An 18,004-nucleotide genomic window follows, 5' to 3' on the forward strand; every position below is an offset into this window, starting at 1 on the left:
TCCTGGGGACCTCCTTTCTGGGCCACTTCCTGGCTGTGGGATCTTGAGCAAGTGACTTTGTTAGCTCTGAGCCTCAGTTTCCTCATCTGTAAAACGGGAATGCTGACCTGCCTCAAAGAGTGTGTGCAGGGATTAAAGCACACTTGCTGAGGGCCTCCAGGTTCCTTCCTCTCCCCGTCCCCAGCCACACCTGAGCTGGGCCATGCAGAGGCAGCGCCAGGTGGGGACACGGGCTCTGTTTCCTGAGATCAGGTCGCCCCTCCCTGATGGTCCCCGCCATCCAGTCACCTGTGGTGCCGGGTGGAGGCCCTGACAGCCCCAGTCTAGTGCCTGTCGCAGGACACAGGCATCAGACTTGAGCCTCTGAGCTGCAGGGACCCCTTGGCATAACCACTTATTAGGCCCTGCTATGACTTCTGGCCTAGGAAGAAGGCATAGGAATGTGGGGCGTCTGAAGATCTCGTGTATGTAACGCTTCACTAGAGCACGGGCTGCTCTTAGTCCCAGTTTTGTGAATGAGGAAACTGAGGCAGAGAAGGTGAAATGACTCACCCAAGTCACAGGCGGGGATGATGCTCAGAACACTGAAGCGTGGGGACTGTGAGGATTACACAGTCAGGACCCATGTGTACTGGCTGAATATCAGGGCCCATCATTCAGTCACTCGTCAAACATTTGTGCATGGCTGCTCTGGGCCTGGTAGGCCTGAGCATGGCTGAGACAAGCCCTGGCTTTAAGAAGCTCACTGTCCAGCGGGGACAGCTGCACCCTTCAACAGCCAAAGCAACCCATGGGGACAAAAGTACGCTCAGCAGGAGGAGCACACGCCCACGCTGGAGGGCGCTCCTTGCAGGCCAGGAGGAGGTTGGGTTCGAGCCAGGTTCTGCTGGACTGGCTGGTTAGCCTTGGCCAGTCACTTCACCTGTCCAGGTGGCAGTTCTGGGGCTAACGTCCTTGGCCTTTGCAGCTCAAACACGAGCAAGCCAGGGAGGGTGATGATCCCAGGCAGTGGTGGAGAGGGTGCAGGGAGGGGCCTCGGCCTTCGCAGGCTGCCCACGTGGTGTCTTCCAGGTAGGAATGGGAAAGACATGGGCATTGTGGGTGGGTGAGGCTCAGAGGCATCGCTGCCACCCTCCAGGGTCCCAGGCAGAGCCAAGTCCAGAGGCCAGTTGGGATTTGGGAACCAAGTCCCTGAGGCTCTGCCTGGTGAGTCTGAGCAGGCAAGGTTCCATGGTGGGAACTCAGATTTGGACCTAAGACTGGAGTTGAACTCCCCAGCCCAGCCATTAATGAGCAGGAGTCTTTGGGCAGGCGCTCCTGGCCCTCTCAGTGCCTCAGTTTCCTCATCTATAAAATGGAGACAATACTTACTATCTCCTTACCAGATTATGGTGATGATCAGGAGCCCACACAGAAAACCACTGCAATGGTGTTGAGTCGTTTGAGGGGTCTCGGCAAGTCTGGGTTTCTCTGATGAGGATGGGCTGCTCATGGCGGCTAATGCGCACCCCCTGCCCCCTGCAAAGCACAGAAGGACACCCTCCGAACGGCTGGCGCTATTGTTTATTTCTTCATGTTTCCAAAAGTTAGGTTTATACTCCACCCCTACAGTTACAGAAATAAACACAACATTAACTGTACTCCACTAGACCGTTAGAAATCAAAACAAGACTAGTTAGCAAATACAGAGATCATAGCGACACCTTGTCCCTGAAACCACCCATCCCAAAGCCACCCGCAGTGTCCTAACCTCATGGAGTGAACATGCGACCAGGCGAATGAGCCAATGGACAGAAGCCATGGTGTCTGTATCTCATACATGGTCATGTATATTATGCATATGTATGTACACAAATTAAGTACGAACCAGCTTGGGATTCTGGTGAAGTTGCTTGTGAACAGCTTGAAGCAAACAGCATTTGTCACAAAGCCCAGGTGTCGGCAGGAACAGCAACATCCTGGTGAAATCCCTGTGAGTGGCTTTTCAGAGTGAGCTTCTGAGAGGTGATTCCACACAGCCCTGGAGGAAGGGGGTCGGCCAGGCTGCAGGAGGGGACAGTCCCTCCACACCACCAGGTCACAGATGACTCTTGAAGGGAAAATGTAATCATTTCTGAAAAGGGGGGGTCTGGGTGCTCCTGCGGGTGAGAATCAGAAGAAGACCCCAACCAGCAGGAGGCCATGGAGTCATGCTCACCAGCTCTCCCCTGAGCAGTGCGGGAGGCTCACTCACTCCAAACCACACTGACAATGGCTGTGCAGAGAGAAGGTACACAGCACAGACCCTTTCTCACAAGGGGAGGACCCATGGGAGAAGCCTCGCCTGTATCACCTGAGTCAGGCTTATGCCTGGGCGGGGCAGATGACTGTGGCATCGGGGTGTGGCCAGGCTGGCCTGAGGCAGCAGAGGCTGGGCCTTTGTCAAGGACAGCTGCACTTCTCTGCCTCCCGGTCACCAGGCTGGAGGGGTCGTGCTCCTTTAGGGCAGCCAGCACCCAGCTCAAGGTCTCTGAATCCAATGGCCCATGAGCCACAGCTCGGGAAGGAGAAGGAGCTGCCGGGGATCCCACCGGGTGAATGATCAGAGTTTGTTTGTTTGTTTGTTTGTTTTTTGAGGAGTCTTGCTCTGTTGCCAGGCTGGAGTGCAGTGGTGCGATCTTGGCTCACTGCAACCTACGCCTCCCGAGTTCAAGCAATTCTCCTGCCTCAGCCTCCCAAGTAGCTGGGACTACAGGCGCCCACCACCATGTCCAGCTAATTTTTGTATTTTTAGTAGAGATGGGGTTTCACCATGTTGGCCAGGATGGTGTCGATCTCTTGACCTTGTGATCCACCTGCCTCAGCCTCCCTAAGTGCTGGGATGACAGGCGTGAGCCGCCATGCCCGGCCAGAGTTTCTAGGGAATAGAAGAGAGGGCAGATACAGACCCCAGGGACATTAGTGAAGCCATTCAGCAGTTGTGGCCAGTGGCCAATGTGAGTGCCCAAGAGCCAAGAACTGGTCTTCCAGGCTAGAAGGACAAACGACAGGCTGGCTCCCTTGGTCTTGGGGTGGCTGTCTGGCAGGCAACAGCTGCTTTGCTCAGTTGGCTCAAACATGTGACAGCTTCCTACTTCAGTCGGTCTTCCAGCCTTCTATAAAGCACACTTGGCAGTCCCCTGGGTACAGAGAGGAATGTTTTTCCCAGGTTGCTTTCTCCTTTATTGACAGGCATGAGACACAGGCAGGCCCAGGCACAGGAAGCCCCATGGAACCTGCCAGGTTGCAGCTGGGTCCAATCCCGCCGGCCATGCTGGGTGACTGCAGGCCCAGCCCACCCACCACGTGTGGACCCAGACACCTCCATGACACCAAGGGCAAAGCACCAGTTCCAGGGTGGCCTCCCCTTGGCTCTTGGGGTGGGGACACCCAGCAGCTGGCACTCAGTTGGGGGGTTATGTTTGCAGAATCACATCACCATATAATCAAAGCACTGTCAGGCAGAACTTGACCCACGGCCTCAGCCCCAGGGTGCTCAATGCAGACTGTGCAGGTGACCCTCTGAAACTACCCAAGGACTCAGCCAAAGTGTGGTCTGGCCCCTTGCTCCTGGAGCCCTTCAGCACATCCAGGGACCACCATCAAGACAGGCACTGCAGGGCGCAGAGCCAACGTGCTGACCAACTCAGAAGCAGAAGCTTAGGAACCAGAGCCCCAAGCCACCCCGATGCTGGCGGGGCCAACTCCAGGCGCCGTGCCTGCACAGCACCACACAACAACCTTTGCTAAGTGGGTCCCTTCCTTGGACCCAGACACTCTCAGTGACTCTGCTCAGGAGGCAGCGCCACCATGCTCTGGAGAAGAGGAGGCCGCCAGAGCCCGGGTGGTTTTAGTGGGTCTTTCCCTGAGGCAGAAACTCCAAGGCCAGGGACAATGTGACCGAAGGGGAGACAACTCTATGGACACTGTCCAGGGATCAAAGATGGTCAGCGTGCACCCTTAGGGTACGTTTAGCGAGCTGGGCTCCATCTCTGCCGCTCCCAGGTGCGGGTCCCGCGTCGCTGTCCAGGCCCCTCATTGCTGACACTCCCCTGGCTTCACTGGGCAGAGTCCACCGGCCCCCCAGCCCTGGGTGTGGCTGGCCCCTCCCTACCTCCCATGTAGCTCCCAGGCCTTTACGAAGCAAATCTCCATCCTCCATCTCCACTCTTGGAAAATGCAGCTGCCCTGCACACCCACAGCCCCGCCCCCGCCCCACCACGGAGGCCTATGGACGCCACCACGACACCACATGGCAGTTACTCGGTATCTGGGCCCTGGACGCGCAAGACCCCGGAGGCCACAAACGGTACAGGAACACAGCCAGGAGTCACGCTGCACACCCCCACCCGTACCTGAGGCAGACTGGGATTGAAATTTTATTTTTAAAAGGTAAAGCTGTTTTATTAAACGTCTTTTAAGGACTGGGAGTATGACATAACAAACTTGAGCAACATGTGTAAACACGTGTGAAATGCGGTTTGATTTCAGTAGTTTATTTTGGAGACAAAGCAGTGCAAGAGGCCAGCCACGCTTTCCTGTTCCCCAGGGCTCAGGGTCAGAACTAGGAAAGGTGACGTACAGACATTAATCGGGGTTCAAAACTCAAGTCGTGTAAACGTGGTTAGTTGTTGGGTCCTCAGTTTCCAAAAAAGCCGGGCAGTTCTGATGGCCTCTGCCCCTCGCCCAAGCCCTGTGCCTCCCTCCTCAAAGTGGGCATCCTGCAGCCCAGCTGAGCCAGGCCGAAGGACCTCCATGCACTGGCTCGGGGGCCTCTCTCGGGACACTCAGCACTTTCTCTAGCGTCCTCCATCTCACTGGGCAGAGGACAGCCCGGAAGCCTTTTTCACTTTTTCAAAGTAAACTGCTATCTTAAGACACAAAAACATACTTGTGGGGGCTGATGCCTCTCACCCAGCACCCCACATCTTCCAGGACTGCAGAGGCTTCTCCCCAACCCTTTTCTCTGCAGAGGGGGCTGCCTGGATCAGGGGTCAGACGGCAGAGCCAGTGCTTTGCTGCCAAGGTGATGGGGTGAGTCTGAGGTGTGCAGAAGCGATGGGGGGCGGGTGGCTCCCTGGCACCTGCTGGCTCAGTGCTTGGGGCTTGCAATGAGAGGTGGACCAGGCCTGCTGGGTGAGGAGGGACCCAGCAGGTGTGAAAAGGAGTGAACCCACTGGGAAGAGGGCCCCGATCTCCATGGTGTCATGCCGAGGCTCCCGCGCCTATCCTCACCTAGGTGACTTTATGGAAAGGCAGGCTGCATCCCAGGGGTTAGGGCACAAAGCCAGCCCTGTGGTGCTCTCTGATCTCAAATGTCCACTAGAGACAAGGGGGTGGAGGCCCAAAGACCTGGAATGATTTGCCCAAATCACAGCACAAATCCTCAGCACAGGCGCCATCGGCTCGGGCCTCCAGCCAGGCAGCCTCCTTCCCGGGCTCCAGGGAGCAGCAGTGCTGGCTTAGGGGAAGGAGACCGCTGTGCAGGGCTAAATGGGACGTGTGTTGGGGGGCCCAGAGGACGCCCAGCTTCCTTTCCTTCCCTTTAGTGAGGGAGCACAGCCCAGACCCCAGCGCGGAACTCCCCTGAGGGGTCTGTGGCCTCCTCTGGCTGTGGGGAGGGAGGGGTTAGCTGCACACCAGGCAGGGTGGGGGCTAACAAAGCCTTGGTGGAGACCAGTAGGAGGAAAAACAAGGAAGGGGCAGGTCAGGGAGTGGGGAGTCAGGCAGAAGGGAAGCCACTCTCACATGCACCGATCAGCCTCCCACAGCCCGACATGGGCAGGCTTCCCCCAAGGGTCCCGGTCCACAGTGGCCATGGAGACCAACAGACAGGGATGTGCACAGACACTGGCATGGCAGCCATACGCACACCCCTCACCTCCCATCCAGACCTAGTGTTGCAAACACAAGCGTGTGTAAACTCAGTTAGGAGGTCTGCACAGTAGAGAGCAGGCGGACGGCCCCACTCCCCAACGGTGGACCACCTGGTACTCTCTTCCATCCCCCACTACCCCTCATTTAGATCATGACATCAGAGAATCAGGTTAAAAATTAAAAAACAGAAGAATCAGATCACTGGGGATTCTTAGTAGTAGCATCGCCGTTGGGAGCTGCTGGCCCAGCGGGTGTGCTCTGCGCCCTGCGCTGCCCCTCTGGGTCCCGGCTCCGTGGCTACTGGGAGGAGGCCTTGGTGGCCAGGGAGGCCACACAATGCTGCTGGAAGCTGGGCGACACGCCGGCGTTGCAGCCGAGTCTCTGGTGCGGCAGCTTGGCGGTGCCGCCCGCGTCGGCCTCAGCCTTCCAGGGCGCGTCCTGGCCCATCATGCTGCCGCAGCAGCCGGGGCTGGCGCTGCATGTCCGCTCGCCCACCAGGCCGCCCGCCGGCTCGGCCAGAAGCTTGCTGTGCCTCAGCAGGGCCACGTCCCCTGTGGCTGCCATGGCTGTGCTCTGGCCCTGCAGGACAGTGGCGATGTGGTTCAGGAGGTCTGTGAAGAACTCGCTCACGCCCTCGTAGCCTGGGGGTGGGAGAGAGACAGCACAAGGGGCGTGAGCCAGGGGCACGCATCATGCAGGGAGGAGGAGGAGGAGGCAGAACCGATGGGCTCCTGGGATGAGGCAGGGTGTGCTGTCAGCGTCCCATTTACAGAGAAAACGTGAGGCTCAGCAGATAAGGGGGGCTGAGGGGAGTCAAAAAGCTTGGACGCCCAACCAGGTGCGTGCTCCTCGACCTTCAGCTGTTGCCAGGGTGTGAGAAGCTGAAGAACCTGAGCTGAGGATGAAACTTGCTTGTCCCTGTTCCTCTCAGGCACAGCTCCACTGTCTCACCCACCCATCCACTTGCATGGTAAAAGCCAGTACATGTGCAGGGGATGTTGGCGTGGCTGGAGGTAGCAGCACCAAAGCCAGCTCCACACACTTGGAGTAATAAATACTCCTGAGGCCCAGCTGAGTCTGGCCTCAGGCTGAGTCCCGGAGACCGCTTCCACCCTGAGCCTCAGCTTCCCTGTCTGCAAACTGAGAAGAGAAGGCTGCCGCCCAGGTGGAGGCTGCTGTGGCACTACTGAGAGAGGCTGGGATGTGAGTGGTGTCTGCTTCACAAAGCAGCTGCCGCCCCAACTGAGTCTGCTTCCTTCTCACCACAAAATACCTGCAGGGAGGCCCCCTGTGTCCCATTCTCTGAGGATCACAGCCAAGGAACGGAAATGCTGGGCATCACTAGCAACATCCAGGCCTGAGACAAGCTCCAGGGCGCAGCATCACATGCTCCCCTTAACAGAGGGGAACAGAACAGAAACCATGGTACCTGCCTGGGGCAAGTGCTTCCTAACACAGTTGCGAACATCAGCAGAGCCCTCGGGAGCCACCAAGCAGGTTTCGGATCTCAGGGGAGGATTCTGCTGGCTCCCAGCAAACTGCTCCAAAAGAGACTCACACAGGGCAAGCGCCCTGCCTGCCTGAGCCAACTTGGAGGGGCGGGAGTTTTCAAAAACCCTGGGCTGTCCTCTGGGACAACATTTACAACCATCAGCCCCACCAGGGTGGGAATGAAGGTTCAGACGGGGGCACCCTGTGCCACCTCTTACAGTGCCCAGGGGCCTGGAAGATGAGACTGCTGAATCTGCCCATGCCCTTACTTATTCAGCAAACAACTGCTGTGGTTTGAGGAAGCCCAAGTCTGAGAGGGGATGCAGGTGCCCGCGGTGGAAATAAAGATGGCTATTCTGGCCGGCAAGCGGCGCCTCCCGAGCTGGCACTGTGCGAGCGTCCCGCAACATCCTCTCGCCTAATCTTCATAATGCTGTCCCCAGTTTACAGATGAGGAGGCATGACCGTTAACCACCACGGGGAGGGCAGTGATGACGTCCATGGCGTTCACAGCACTCGGGAAGTAGCAGCCACTGGGCTGTGAGCGCCACGGTCCTCAGCCCACCGCACCCCTGCAGCCCGTTTCACAGGTGAGGACCCTGAGGCTCAAGGTGGCTCCTAAGAGGCAGAGTGGGATCTGAAGGACGCCCTTGGTCTTGTGTGTGTCTTGAATACCACATGGTGCCAGGTCCCCCACCATAGGACCCGGGGTGTCCGTCGGCCCTGGGCTAGGCCTGGAGGGCAGGGTAGGTGTCCCGGGCACGGGCATGGCTGTTGGGTGCCTAGGGAGAAATGCAGTGGAGGAGCTCCACCATCAGGTCAGCGCCAGGGAACAGGGAGCCATTCTCCAGCAACCTCCTCCAGCATCCCCAGACAACGCCCAGTGGCCCAGGGCAGGGAGGCCGCTTTCTGTGGTGGTGCAGAGACGGCTGCCTCCACGGAGGCCTGAGGATAAACAGGAGCTCGGGGAGCGGACTGAGGCATGAACCTGCAGGGCAGGGTGCCAGCTCCATACCAGCACTGTGCAAAAGCCATCTCCTCTGTCTGCAGGGTGGGAAACTGGTTCCCACTGCAGTGAACACTGAGACTTAAACGTTAGGTGGCTTGTGCCATCACAGACTGTAAAGGCAGAGGCAAGATTCGAACCCATGGCTGGAGCTGAGAGGTGGAAAGGCTGGGGCTGACAGTCTGGGCCCCATCCAGCTCCACCACGTGACTTTGGACAAGCCACTCAACCCCCAGCCTCACATTCTTATCAGCAACACAGAGATTCCAGCGGCCCTTTGCACAACGCCTCGTGAGGACGAAGTGAGGCGTCGGGGCAGGCCTGGCTCACGGTGTCATCAGCGCTTGCAGCTGTTGCGGTTATTACTCCAGAGCCAGCCCCTCTCTGGAGGGGCCCTCTCCCAGGCCTCTCCCACCCACGTGCTGCTGGACACCCATGGCCCAAGGTGCCTCCTGTGGGGTGCAGGAGAACAGGCCTGCTGCTCTGCTTGGCCCCAAAAGGGTGCTCTATGGTAAGGCGGACACACTGAGCTATCTCCCGGGGAACCAGCTCTGCCCTGCCAGAGCCCTGGGCCTCTCCTCAGTACCAGGCTCCCTCACCAGTCTCCGCCAGGCTCAGCCATAGTCCCACCCCATCTGGGTGGCCCTTCTCTTGGCTTCTCTGGAAGAACCCTCCCTGTCCACACTGGCTCACAGTGCCCCACACTGACTCACAAGGCCATCCCTTATCTGCACCCATAGATCGCGACCATCTACACATTTTGTGTTGGGAGGCACTGGCCTTGCTCAGGTGCAAAGCTTCCCACCCTCTCCTGTCTCCTCCCTCCTTCCAGAACTTCTCTTCTAACAGGCCTCCCTGTGCCCCCCTGGCCCTCCAGCCACTGACGTTGTCCCCTTTTCATTCTGCCACTCAAAACATGCTCCGTGGTTTAGATCCCACACTTCCTTATCCTGAACGTCCCTTGCATTATCCTGAATGTCCCTTGCGCCCTGGTTCCCTCATACCTGCCAGCAAAACCCCATGAAATCCCAGCTCCAGCTAAACCCATGGTTTCCTCCCCACTGCACCCAGAGGCAATGGAGAAAAACACGATCGTCGCACGGGTCTGCCCTTTCAGTTCACAAGCACAGATCTCACGGTGGCTGCTCCCCGACTCCCAGGGAGAGCTCCAACGTCCTCAGTTCACCACACGCAGCTCCCCTGACTCTGTCCTCCAGCCTTCCTGCCCCGCAGCTGCACCTGCTGTAGCCACAGGGCTCCACGGTGCCTCTCCTGGGACCTGCCCCTGTGCTCCAGTGTCACCACCTCACAGAGGAGCCCGCTGACCGCCCGCTCTGTCCTCCGCCTCCTCCAGACAGGGGTGAGCTCTCCCCAGGCAGGGCATGGCAGTGGAGCTCAAGCTGCATCAGCATCTGGACCAGCTGGGACACACAGCAGCCCTGGGCGACAGCAGCCCTGGGTAAACACCAGCTGAATGACAGGAGCCAGCACACTCCTCTGAGCCTTGGCTTCCTTGCTGTGGCCGGTGCTGCTGACTGCGCCTGCGCATGCTCTCAGACGAGCGGAGGTGACACACACAGAAAGTGCCCAGCCAGTGTGTGGGGCCAAGGTCCTGCCTCACCTCCACGATAAACAACCCCGAGTCCCCACCTGCCAGGCACAGTCTCTGAAGGCAGGAGGCATTTCCTGAACGTTTTTGCACCTCAGCAGCTAGCAAGGCTGGCTTCACCTCCACAGCAGATGCTTTACAAGGGTCAGGATGGAGAAAGGAACGGGGGACCCCCATCTGGGGAATGGCAGGCACCAAGGCATCAAGCGCGGCTCTGTCTCTGAGCTGCTGCGGGAGGTAAACAAGCCACTGAGCCTTGGTGTCCCCAGGGCGAGGCACGCAGCCTGGTGACCGCGAGCTGTGATGTCACACCATCGTTCCTCATGCCCTGTGCTGGGGCTCTGCTCCTGCGGTCCCCATAGGGCCCCTCACTGAGAGCTGAGGGGCACATGGCAGAGCCTGGCTCAATGCCAGTGGGTTCCTAGGGCCCAGCTGGCAGCAGGGAACAGACTCCATAGCCCAGGGCTCCTCCCCAGGCCTCTGCCCGGCGCTGCAGTTCAGGGTGGTGGAGGCAACGTGAGCCTGGGAGTCTCTGGCCTGCCACCAATGTGCTGTGGGGCCTGAACAGCTTCCTCCTCTCTAGGGCCTCAGTTTCCCAACATGTAAACTGCAGGGGGCTGTAATCCCTTCAAGGTCCTTCCTGCTCCTTAAATCGAGGAGGGCCTGGGGGAGGGGCTGATCCACCAATGACGCAGGTGGAGAGAGGAGGTGAGGGACATGCGTGCTGTGGCCACTGTGCCTGGCGCTCCCCAGGTGGACGTGCAGCTCTCCCTCCCTCCTCGCACACCCCGTAAGCCCATCGCGCAGGTGAGGCTGAGGCTTCTCGGGGCTGCACCTCCCCGGACCTCGTGGTGAGGGAGAAAGCTGGCTTTCTGGCCTCAGTCACCCCGCCTCACCTGCCTGGTCACCTGAGGACAGTCTCTGGAGGCCGGTCAGTGGAGGTGGCCTGGCCGCCACTCACCTGGGAAGGCATTGATGTCAATGACGGCGTGCTGCCCTGTCTGGTTGTTGATGATGATGTCGATGCCGAAGAGTGACACGCCCAGTGCCTGCCGCAGGGCCCGGGAGAGCTCCCGGATGACCTCGTCGCTCGGCCGCTCGAACACGCCCTCGATCTTGTCCAGCTGCCAACATACACAAGGAAGTCAGGCCATGGGCCGAGGAGCTGCGAAGCCACACCACACAGACAGACCCCCCACACCAGCTGCCACGAGGCCCTGGCATGCTTCAGGCCAGGAAGCCAGACAGACCTACTGTGGTGAGCACGGGGCGGCCACTGGCCAGGTCCTGCCCTCTGAGGGCCGCCAGGCACGAGGTGTGTGAGGCTCATTACCTCCTGTGGGCTCATCACAGCCTGGAAGGCCAGTGCCAGCACTGCACATTACACACAGGGAAACCGGAGCTCAGAGAGGGTTGGGGCTGGTCTAAAGTCACACAGCTCAAAAGCACAGGGCAGAATTTGGACCCATATTTTTTAGCCTCTAAAACCAAAGCCTTTTAACAGGGAGGAAGGAGATGGAGAGTGTGTCAGGGACCCGGGAAGACATGGTGCAGAGCACCGAAGCCGGAACTTGGAGGCAGGAGGATGTGGGCCCCTGGGAGGGGTGGGAGAAGGAGAGCGGCCCCAGGGAGGACACAGGGGAGGCAAAGGTGCTGAGGCCAGCAGCTGCGGGACATGGCTAGGAGCAGCTGGGGCGCAGAGCCGGGCACAAGTGAGGAGTTCTGATCAGACCCCCACTTGCCTGCCATCACAGAGACCCCCAAGGAGGTGAGGGTGAGGGCCCTGTGGCCCAGCAGGCCAGTCTTCCTTCCCAAAAAATGCTGTTTCCAAATGAACTCACACCCTAAACAATGCGGGCTCCCCAGAGAGGCTGCTCTGCTGCTCCTGCCTGCCTCCTGGGGTCCAAGCTCAGCTTTCCTCAAGGTTTCCATGTGCTGGTCAGGCCACCCTGCTCTGTTCTCCCTCCCAGCCCGGCACTCCCCTCTGCCACTCAAGTCCTGTGCCTGTCGCAGCTGGCCTGGGACAGGCACACACTGTCATGGGCTCAGCCTGCCCCCAGCCAAGGCCTCCAAGGAAGTGGGGCACTGCACTGGGAAGGATTCTGGAGTCAGAGAGACGTGGGTTCCAAACCTGACAGTGAACTCCTAGCTCTGTGGACTTCGGAAACAGTACTTGGCCTCTCTGTCTCAGGTTTGCTCTTCTGTAAAAGGAAGCAACAGGCCTCCATCTCAGACTTATGTTGATAAGGTGTGGACAGCATGTGCCCGGCTGGGAGGAGATTCATCTGAATTCTAGGGCAGGAACTGCATCCCGTCTCCTCTAAATCAGCCAAGGGAGGGCTCACACTAGGTGCTCAATAAATAGTGAAGTTTTGGGGGTTGTGGGCTTAGGGGCCAAAGGGGAAGGGAGTGGCTGATCCATGAAAGACAAAAGTGAAGCTGGGTTCAAAAGCTGGAGATGGAATAACCATCTGACCTGGCAGTTCTGCTCCGGGGTACACACCCCAGAGCTGAGAACGTGTACTCAAACGGATGCTGTCCACCCACGCTCACCGTGGTGTTATTCATACCCCAGCGTGCATCCACAGATGAACAGCTACAAAAACTGGTCTATCCATACGACGGAATATTGTACAGCCATAAAAAGGAATGAACTTCTGACATATGCCACAAAGCGGAGGAACCCTGAATACATCATGCTGAGTGCAGGAACCCAGACACAAAAGCTCATATATTGTGTGATTCCATTTCTACGGAATATCTAGGACAGGTAACGCCACAGAGACAGCAACGAGCTCAGCGGCTGCCAATAACATGAGGTGGGGGAAATGGGGAGTGAGTGCCGGTGGGCCCAGGGTTTTCTTCTCAGTGATGAAAATGTTTTGGAACCAGATAGAGGTGGTGATTGGACAACACTGTGAAGGTACTAATTGCCACTGAATTATTCGCTTTAAAATGGTTAATCTTATGTATGTGAATTTACCTCAATTTTATTTTATTTAGAGACAATGTTTCACTCTGTCACCCAGGCTGGAGTGTAGTGGTGCAATCACGGCTCACTGCAGCCTTGAACTCCTGGGCCTCAGCCTCTGGGGTAGCTGGGACTACAGGCGTGTGCCACCATGCCTGGCTAATTTTATTTGTTTTTTGTAGGGACAGGGTCTCACTATCTTTCCCAGGCTGGTCTCAAACTCCTGGCCTCAAGTAATCCTCCCTCCTTGGCCTCCCAAAATGCTGGGATTACAGGTGTGAGCCGCTGTGCCAGGTGCACCTGAATTAAAAAAAAAAAAGTGAAAGCAGATCGACAGGGCTGGGGACAGAGCCCTGGTCACCAAGAAAAATGGCCCTTACCCAAGCACAGGAGGCTGAAGTAACCACTGGGAACTTCCAGGGAGGGAAGCGCTGAGCAGGGACCCACGCCCGGGCGCCGCCCACGCTCCGAGGGACCCATGCCCGGGCACCACCCACGCTCCAAGTCCGGGCGCCGCCCACGCTCCGAGGGACCCACACCCGGATATCACCCACGCTCTGAGGGACCCACGCCTGGATATCACCCACGCTCTGAGGCCTACACCAGCGCATCTCCCACCCCGGCTTTGCAGGACACACAGGGCCCCCCTGCTCACAGCCTCAAGGCCTTGGTGTCGTATCTGGAAGAAATACTTTCTAGGGGGCAGGAGTGGCCTGGCTGTAAGAGACACTCATCCCTTAGCACTTTTCTTTCTTTTTTTTTTTTTCTTTTGAGACAGGGCCTTGCTCTGTTGCCCAGGCTACAGTGCAATGGCGAGATCACAACTCACCGCAGCCTCGACCTTCCGGGCTCAAATGAACCTACCACCTCAGCCTCCTGAGTAGCCGCAACTACAGGCAAGCAACACTACGCCCTGCTAATTTTTGTATTTTGTTTTGGTAGGGATTAAAGATCTCACTACGTTTCCCAGGCTGGTCTCAAACTCCTGGGCTCAAGCGATCTGCCCGCCTTGGCCTCCCAAAGTGTTGGGATTAAAGGTATGAGCCACCGCGCCCAGCCACTTAGCTTTTCTGAGCCTCCTGGGTCACTCTTGCCAGTGGGGGCCAGAGGCTAAGCCTAGTGGGGCAGCTCAGCCACTCATCCTGCAGCCCAAGGCCCTCACTGAGTCAGAGAGACCCTGGTGGATACCTTGGAGCTGCCCACTCTCCACTGTGTACCCTAAGCCATAACAGAACCCTTCTGGGCCTTGTTTTCTTGCCCCAGTAAATGGGGTAATAAAAACATCTCGCTGTGAGATTGTGGTGCCGACGACGGGAGGAGCTGCTGCCTCAGGCTGACAGCACAGGCCCAGCAGCAAGGGAGCTTGGCTGCTGCACTGCCACACGCCCCATGGCACGCCATTTACAAAAGTGCTCTCGGCCTGGTTGCAGAATCTCAGAAATCCTTCCGAAGTTGTCTGGTTATCCAAAACCAAATAGCCATCCTAGGACAAGATGCCTGGGGCCCTCAAAGCAAGTGATCTGATGACGTTCTGGAAAGCAAGGAGGTGACAGAGGAACTGGGAAGGCGTTCATGGGTCCCCAGTGGGCCTCGGCACCCGGCTGCCGAGACCGTGCCCATACTGCACACCTGGCAACTGCGGTGGGTGCTTCTCACCCAGGAACTCCCTGGACTCCGGAATCCTTCTGGGGCAGGAAGAAGAAACCAAGGCTCAGAGAGGCGACGCGACTCGCCTTAGCTTGGGCCGGACCCCAGGCAGTCCCGTCAGAGTCTGTGCTCTTAACTAATACCCTAGACTGAATTTCGAAAAGCAAAAAATGTATGGGGCCCTCCAAGTTCGGTGGGGCTAGGCCCATCCGCAGGGGCATCCCACTGGGAAGGGAGGGGGTGCTTTAAGGCCAGAGGAGGGCTTCCTGCACCAGACTCCCAGGGAGGCCAAGGCAGGACTGGAGGAGCCCCAGGTGGGCAGGGGCAGGTGGATGAGCAGCAAGCGTGTTTCCGCACCTGGGAACAGAGCTGGCTCTGTCAGGCCAGCCTGCGGGCGTCCAGGAGGGGCTGATGTCCCAGTGGAAAAGGTGGTGCTGACCGCATTTCTCTTTTCTATTTTTGGAAATCGTCAGTCCTGGCAGATTCCTGACTAGCAGCCATGTGCTGAGGGAAGGAGGAGGTGACTGCAGACCTCAGAGGTGAAGGGAAGGGCCCTGCAGTGTCTCTAGGCTGACCCCTTCCCGTTTTACAGATGAGGAGATTAAGGCTGAGGTCAACAAGTGATAATCCAAGACAGTGACTTCTGGATGGGTCCTTCTGCCATCACGGCTGCTGGCCTTGCCCCTGAGAGGACACTCAGTCTGCAAATGCCAAATCCCCTCCATTGCATGGGCTGCCGAGGCCCCCAGAGCAAAGCCATGCACGGAAGAAGCCCCAGGATTCTGAAGCTTAGAAGAAAGCCGTCTCTTGCACAGAACATCTCATAATATTCTCAGCCAGGCACTGAGGCTCTGTTGAAATCTGTTCCCAAAGCCTGATATGTTCCCAGGGGACATGTGTCAACATCCTGAGGGATGGCGATGTTCCCTCCAGGTCCTGCCCACGCCTGTGCTCTGTCTAATCCTCAGCACACTGCTGGCTCCTCAGAGGACCCTGACACAAAAGACAGACAGACAGACAGGCCATCTGGGTTCTGGGGCAGCCCCCCGAGGGACACGAGCACTGCCACTGGAGTGGAGGCTGGTTCGTTGGAGAGGCCAGCCCAGGACAGGGAGGAAGAGACCAGCAAAGCCCCCCAGAAGAGCAGCACACATGCATCCTCAGAACAGCAGGCTCCCTGGCAGAGGGCTCTTGAGTTTAGGGAAGTAGCCGCTGGCTCTCTGGACTTCGGGCAAACAGCAGAGGGTAGCCTTTCCTAAATTCTTTGGGGTCAGGTGCTCAGGAATCACTGGTGAGGTCAGAAGTCCTAAATTCCTGGAAGATCCAACTTTGGAGTCAGACAGATCTGGGGTCAAACCCCAGCCTTGCACCGTGTGAACAGCCTTGTGAACGTGCAAAGATCACTGAGCCTCTCTGATGCCATGAGACCTGATTGCGACCCGCACTGCAGGGCACCTGGGCTGACACTGGCCACAGCAACACTCACTGAACGGCCAGAACGCCCGTTACCCATAGTGCTGGGGGCAGGGTAACACTCCTGCCAGCCTCAGGACCACTGCAGGACAAAGGACTGAGATGGTGCTGCCTCCACAGCCTTTTTGAAAATCAGGAACAAGGCAGATTAGAGAGCAGTTCTTCCAATTCCTCATGCTGGGAGAAGGGTCAGCACACCTTCTGTGTGGGCAGCTTGCAGTGAGTGGTCTGTCCCTGCAAGCCCAGTGTGCCCCTCACCTCTCCCTGTGCTGGGCCGGGCTGCAATGGCTGCTAGCATGAAAACTCGAAGCAAGCAGAGGAACAGGGGGCTCTGGAACCTCCTGGGGCCTGTGGCATGGAGGCAAACGTCCTTCCCACCCTACCCTGCTGGAGAGCTTGGCCAAGGACCCCATGGCCACAGCAGCCCACACCTAGGCCCACGGGAGGGCAGTTTCAGGCCAGGCCATCCCAGCAGAGGGACCCACCTCCGTCAGGACCGATGACGACTCCGGCTTTGACACGTTGTGGCTGTTGAAGAAGATGGACTCACGGTCTGAAAAAGCGACAGGAAGGAGCCGGCGTTAGAACCTCAATGCAGGGACCACACTGCCGCCACCTGACACCAGGGGGCAGCATCACCCCAGGCACACAACACGTGGCCCCCGGCTCTGCAGAGCCCTGGGCTCCAGCAAGCTGGGCACCAGCCCTGGGCACGGATGTGTGCCCCATCAGGGCTCCGGTTCACCTTCTCCTCCCACATAAAAGTAACCGATGTAATGAGCTGACCTCTGCTACCATCTCACAGCATCACATCTGGTTTTCCCTGAGGCCCTGTTCCCAAAGTGTGCTGTCACTATACAGGGAAGTAGGGGAAAAGGGCTCGGTGGGACAGCTAAACACCTGAATATCACGGCCAGAGAGGGCCCACATCAAAGCAGCCTCTTGGTGTTATTTAGGCCAGTGCTCCCAGCCCACGGGACTCTCTTTTGGGGAACATGCTAGAGACATAGGGACAGGCTGGCACCGGCACGTGAGCACTTAAAATACAAAGGGTTCTGGTGGTTCTTAGCGACTTAGGGAAAAAAATAGGAAATCAGAGAATGTAGGCTTCCACAGGATCCGTCCAAGAAAGCACACAGCACAATTTCTCTTTGGCAACGGAAGCTGGCACAGAGAGTCTGAAATACCCTCACCCCACACGTCTGGCTCCCGCCTGCCTCCCACAACACCCGGCCCGTACAGGCCCACTGGGGACCCGCAGAGGCAGACCAGTCCAAAGAATACTGAAAGTGCAAGTAGATCCCACAGGAGAAATGTCTTTGGGGAGTAAGCCAAAGTCACTTGGGGAAAATGTCAGGTCGGTTGGTCAGAAACACGCTTGTAGGCACTGGGAAGCATTGGCACGCAAATGCAAGAATTGCAGAACCATGAGCCTCAGGCCGAGTTCTGGAAAAGGCTGTCTGTCACCATCCCACGACTTCCCCCAAGGCTGGCACGGGACCGTCCTGGGCCGCCAGCCCCAGCAGCCCCTCCTTGAGTCCTTGCAGGGTGAGGCATTGTGGCTCCCACCCCCAGGATGCAATGCACACCCCTGGCACCCAGGCGCCTATGTGCGAGGACAGGAGGGCACTGGCTGAGGGCCGCTGCGTGCTGGGGGCCATGCCAATGGGGCACCTGATCTGGCTGCCAACGACCCATCAGCTCCAGGACTTCACAGCGCCGCAACAATTATGCATGAGGGAGTGATTCGGGCGGAAGCCAAGCAGGCAGGCGCTGAGATGTACCCGGCGTCCCTCCCGCTAGCGGGGCACAGAGGCCCCTGGCTGCCCTGGTGTGCCCGACAGTCCTCCTGCTGCTCTGACCAGAGCCAGTCCAGACGGGGGCCATGAAATATGGTCCTGGGGAGGAGCCT

At 58.1% G+C, this 18,004-nt stretch overlaps 1 protein-coding gene and 1 long non-coding RNA gene across 7 annotated transcripts in view, besides 2 other annotated features; both read right to left on the reverse strand.

Annotated features, from left to right (window-relative positions):
* ITPK1 (inositol-tetrakisphosphate 1-kinase) overlaps positions 1,546–18,004 on the reverse strand; it is a 179,012-nt gene continuing 162,553 nt past the window's right edge. For 5 of the 6 annotated variants that reach the window (NM_001142593.3, XM_047431351.1, NM_014216.6 and 2 more), the window contains 3 exons: positions 16,578–16,645; positions 10,963–11,125; positions 1,546–6,536 (listed from right to left, as the gene is read on the reverse strand). In NM_001142593.3, the coding sequence (NP_001136065.1) occupies positions 6,193–6,536; positions 10,963–11,125; positions 16,578–16,645 (575 nt within the window). In that variant the 3' untranslated portion in view covers positions 1,546–6,192. The remainder of the gene's footprint in view (positions 6,537–10,962; positions 11,126–16,577; positions 16,646–18,004) is intronic. The other variant, NM_001142594.3, reaches the window with a different exon arrangement.
* Positions 1,952–2,453: an enhancer, noted in NCBI's record as "H3K4me1 hESC enhancer chr14:93403665-93404166 (GRCh37/hg19 assembly coordinates)". NCBI's record gives its function as "activates a minimal SCP1, AML or CMV promoter by ChIP-STARR-seq in naive H9 embryonic stem cells {active_cell/tissue: H9 hESC(naive)}" and the evidence as "EXISTENCE:reporter gene assay evidence [ECO:0000049][PMID:30033119]".
* Positions 12,972–16,571, reverse strand: LOC124903366 (uncharacterized). Its single transcript, XR_007064312.1, has 2 exons — positions 14,977–16,571; positions 12,972–14,768 (listed from the first exon to the last, which is right to left on the reverse strand). It is a non-coding gene; the product is annotated as an uncharacterized LOC124903366 (long non-coding RNA).
* Positions 16,502–17,002: an enhancer, noted in NCBI's record as "H3K4me1 hESC enhancer chr14:93418215-93418715 (GRCh37/hg19 assembly coordinates)". NCBI's record gives its function as "activates a minimal SCP1, AML or CMV promoter by ChIP-STARR-seq in primed H9 embryonic stem cells {active_cell/tissue: H9 hESC(primed)}" and the evidence as "EXISTENCE:reporter gene assay evidence [ECO:0000049][PMID:30033119]".

The sequence above is a fragment of the Homo sapiens genome, chromosome 14 (assembly GCF_000001405.40).
Source record: "Homo sapiens chromosome 14, GRCh38.p14 Primary Assembly".
Taxonomy (NCBI): Eukaryota; Metazoa; Chordata; class Mammalia; order Primates; family Hominidae; genus Homo; species Homo sapiens.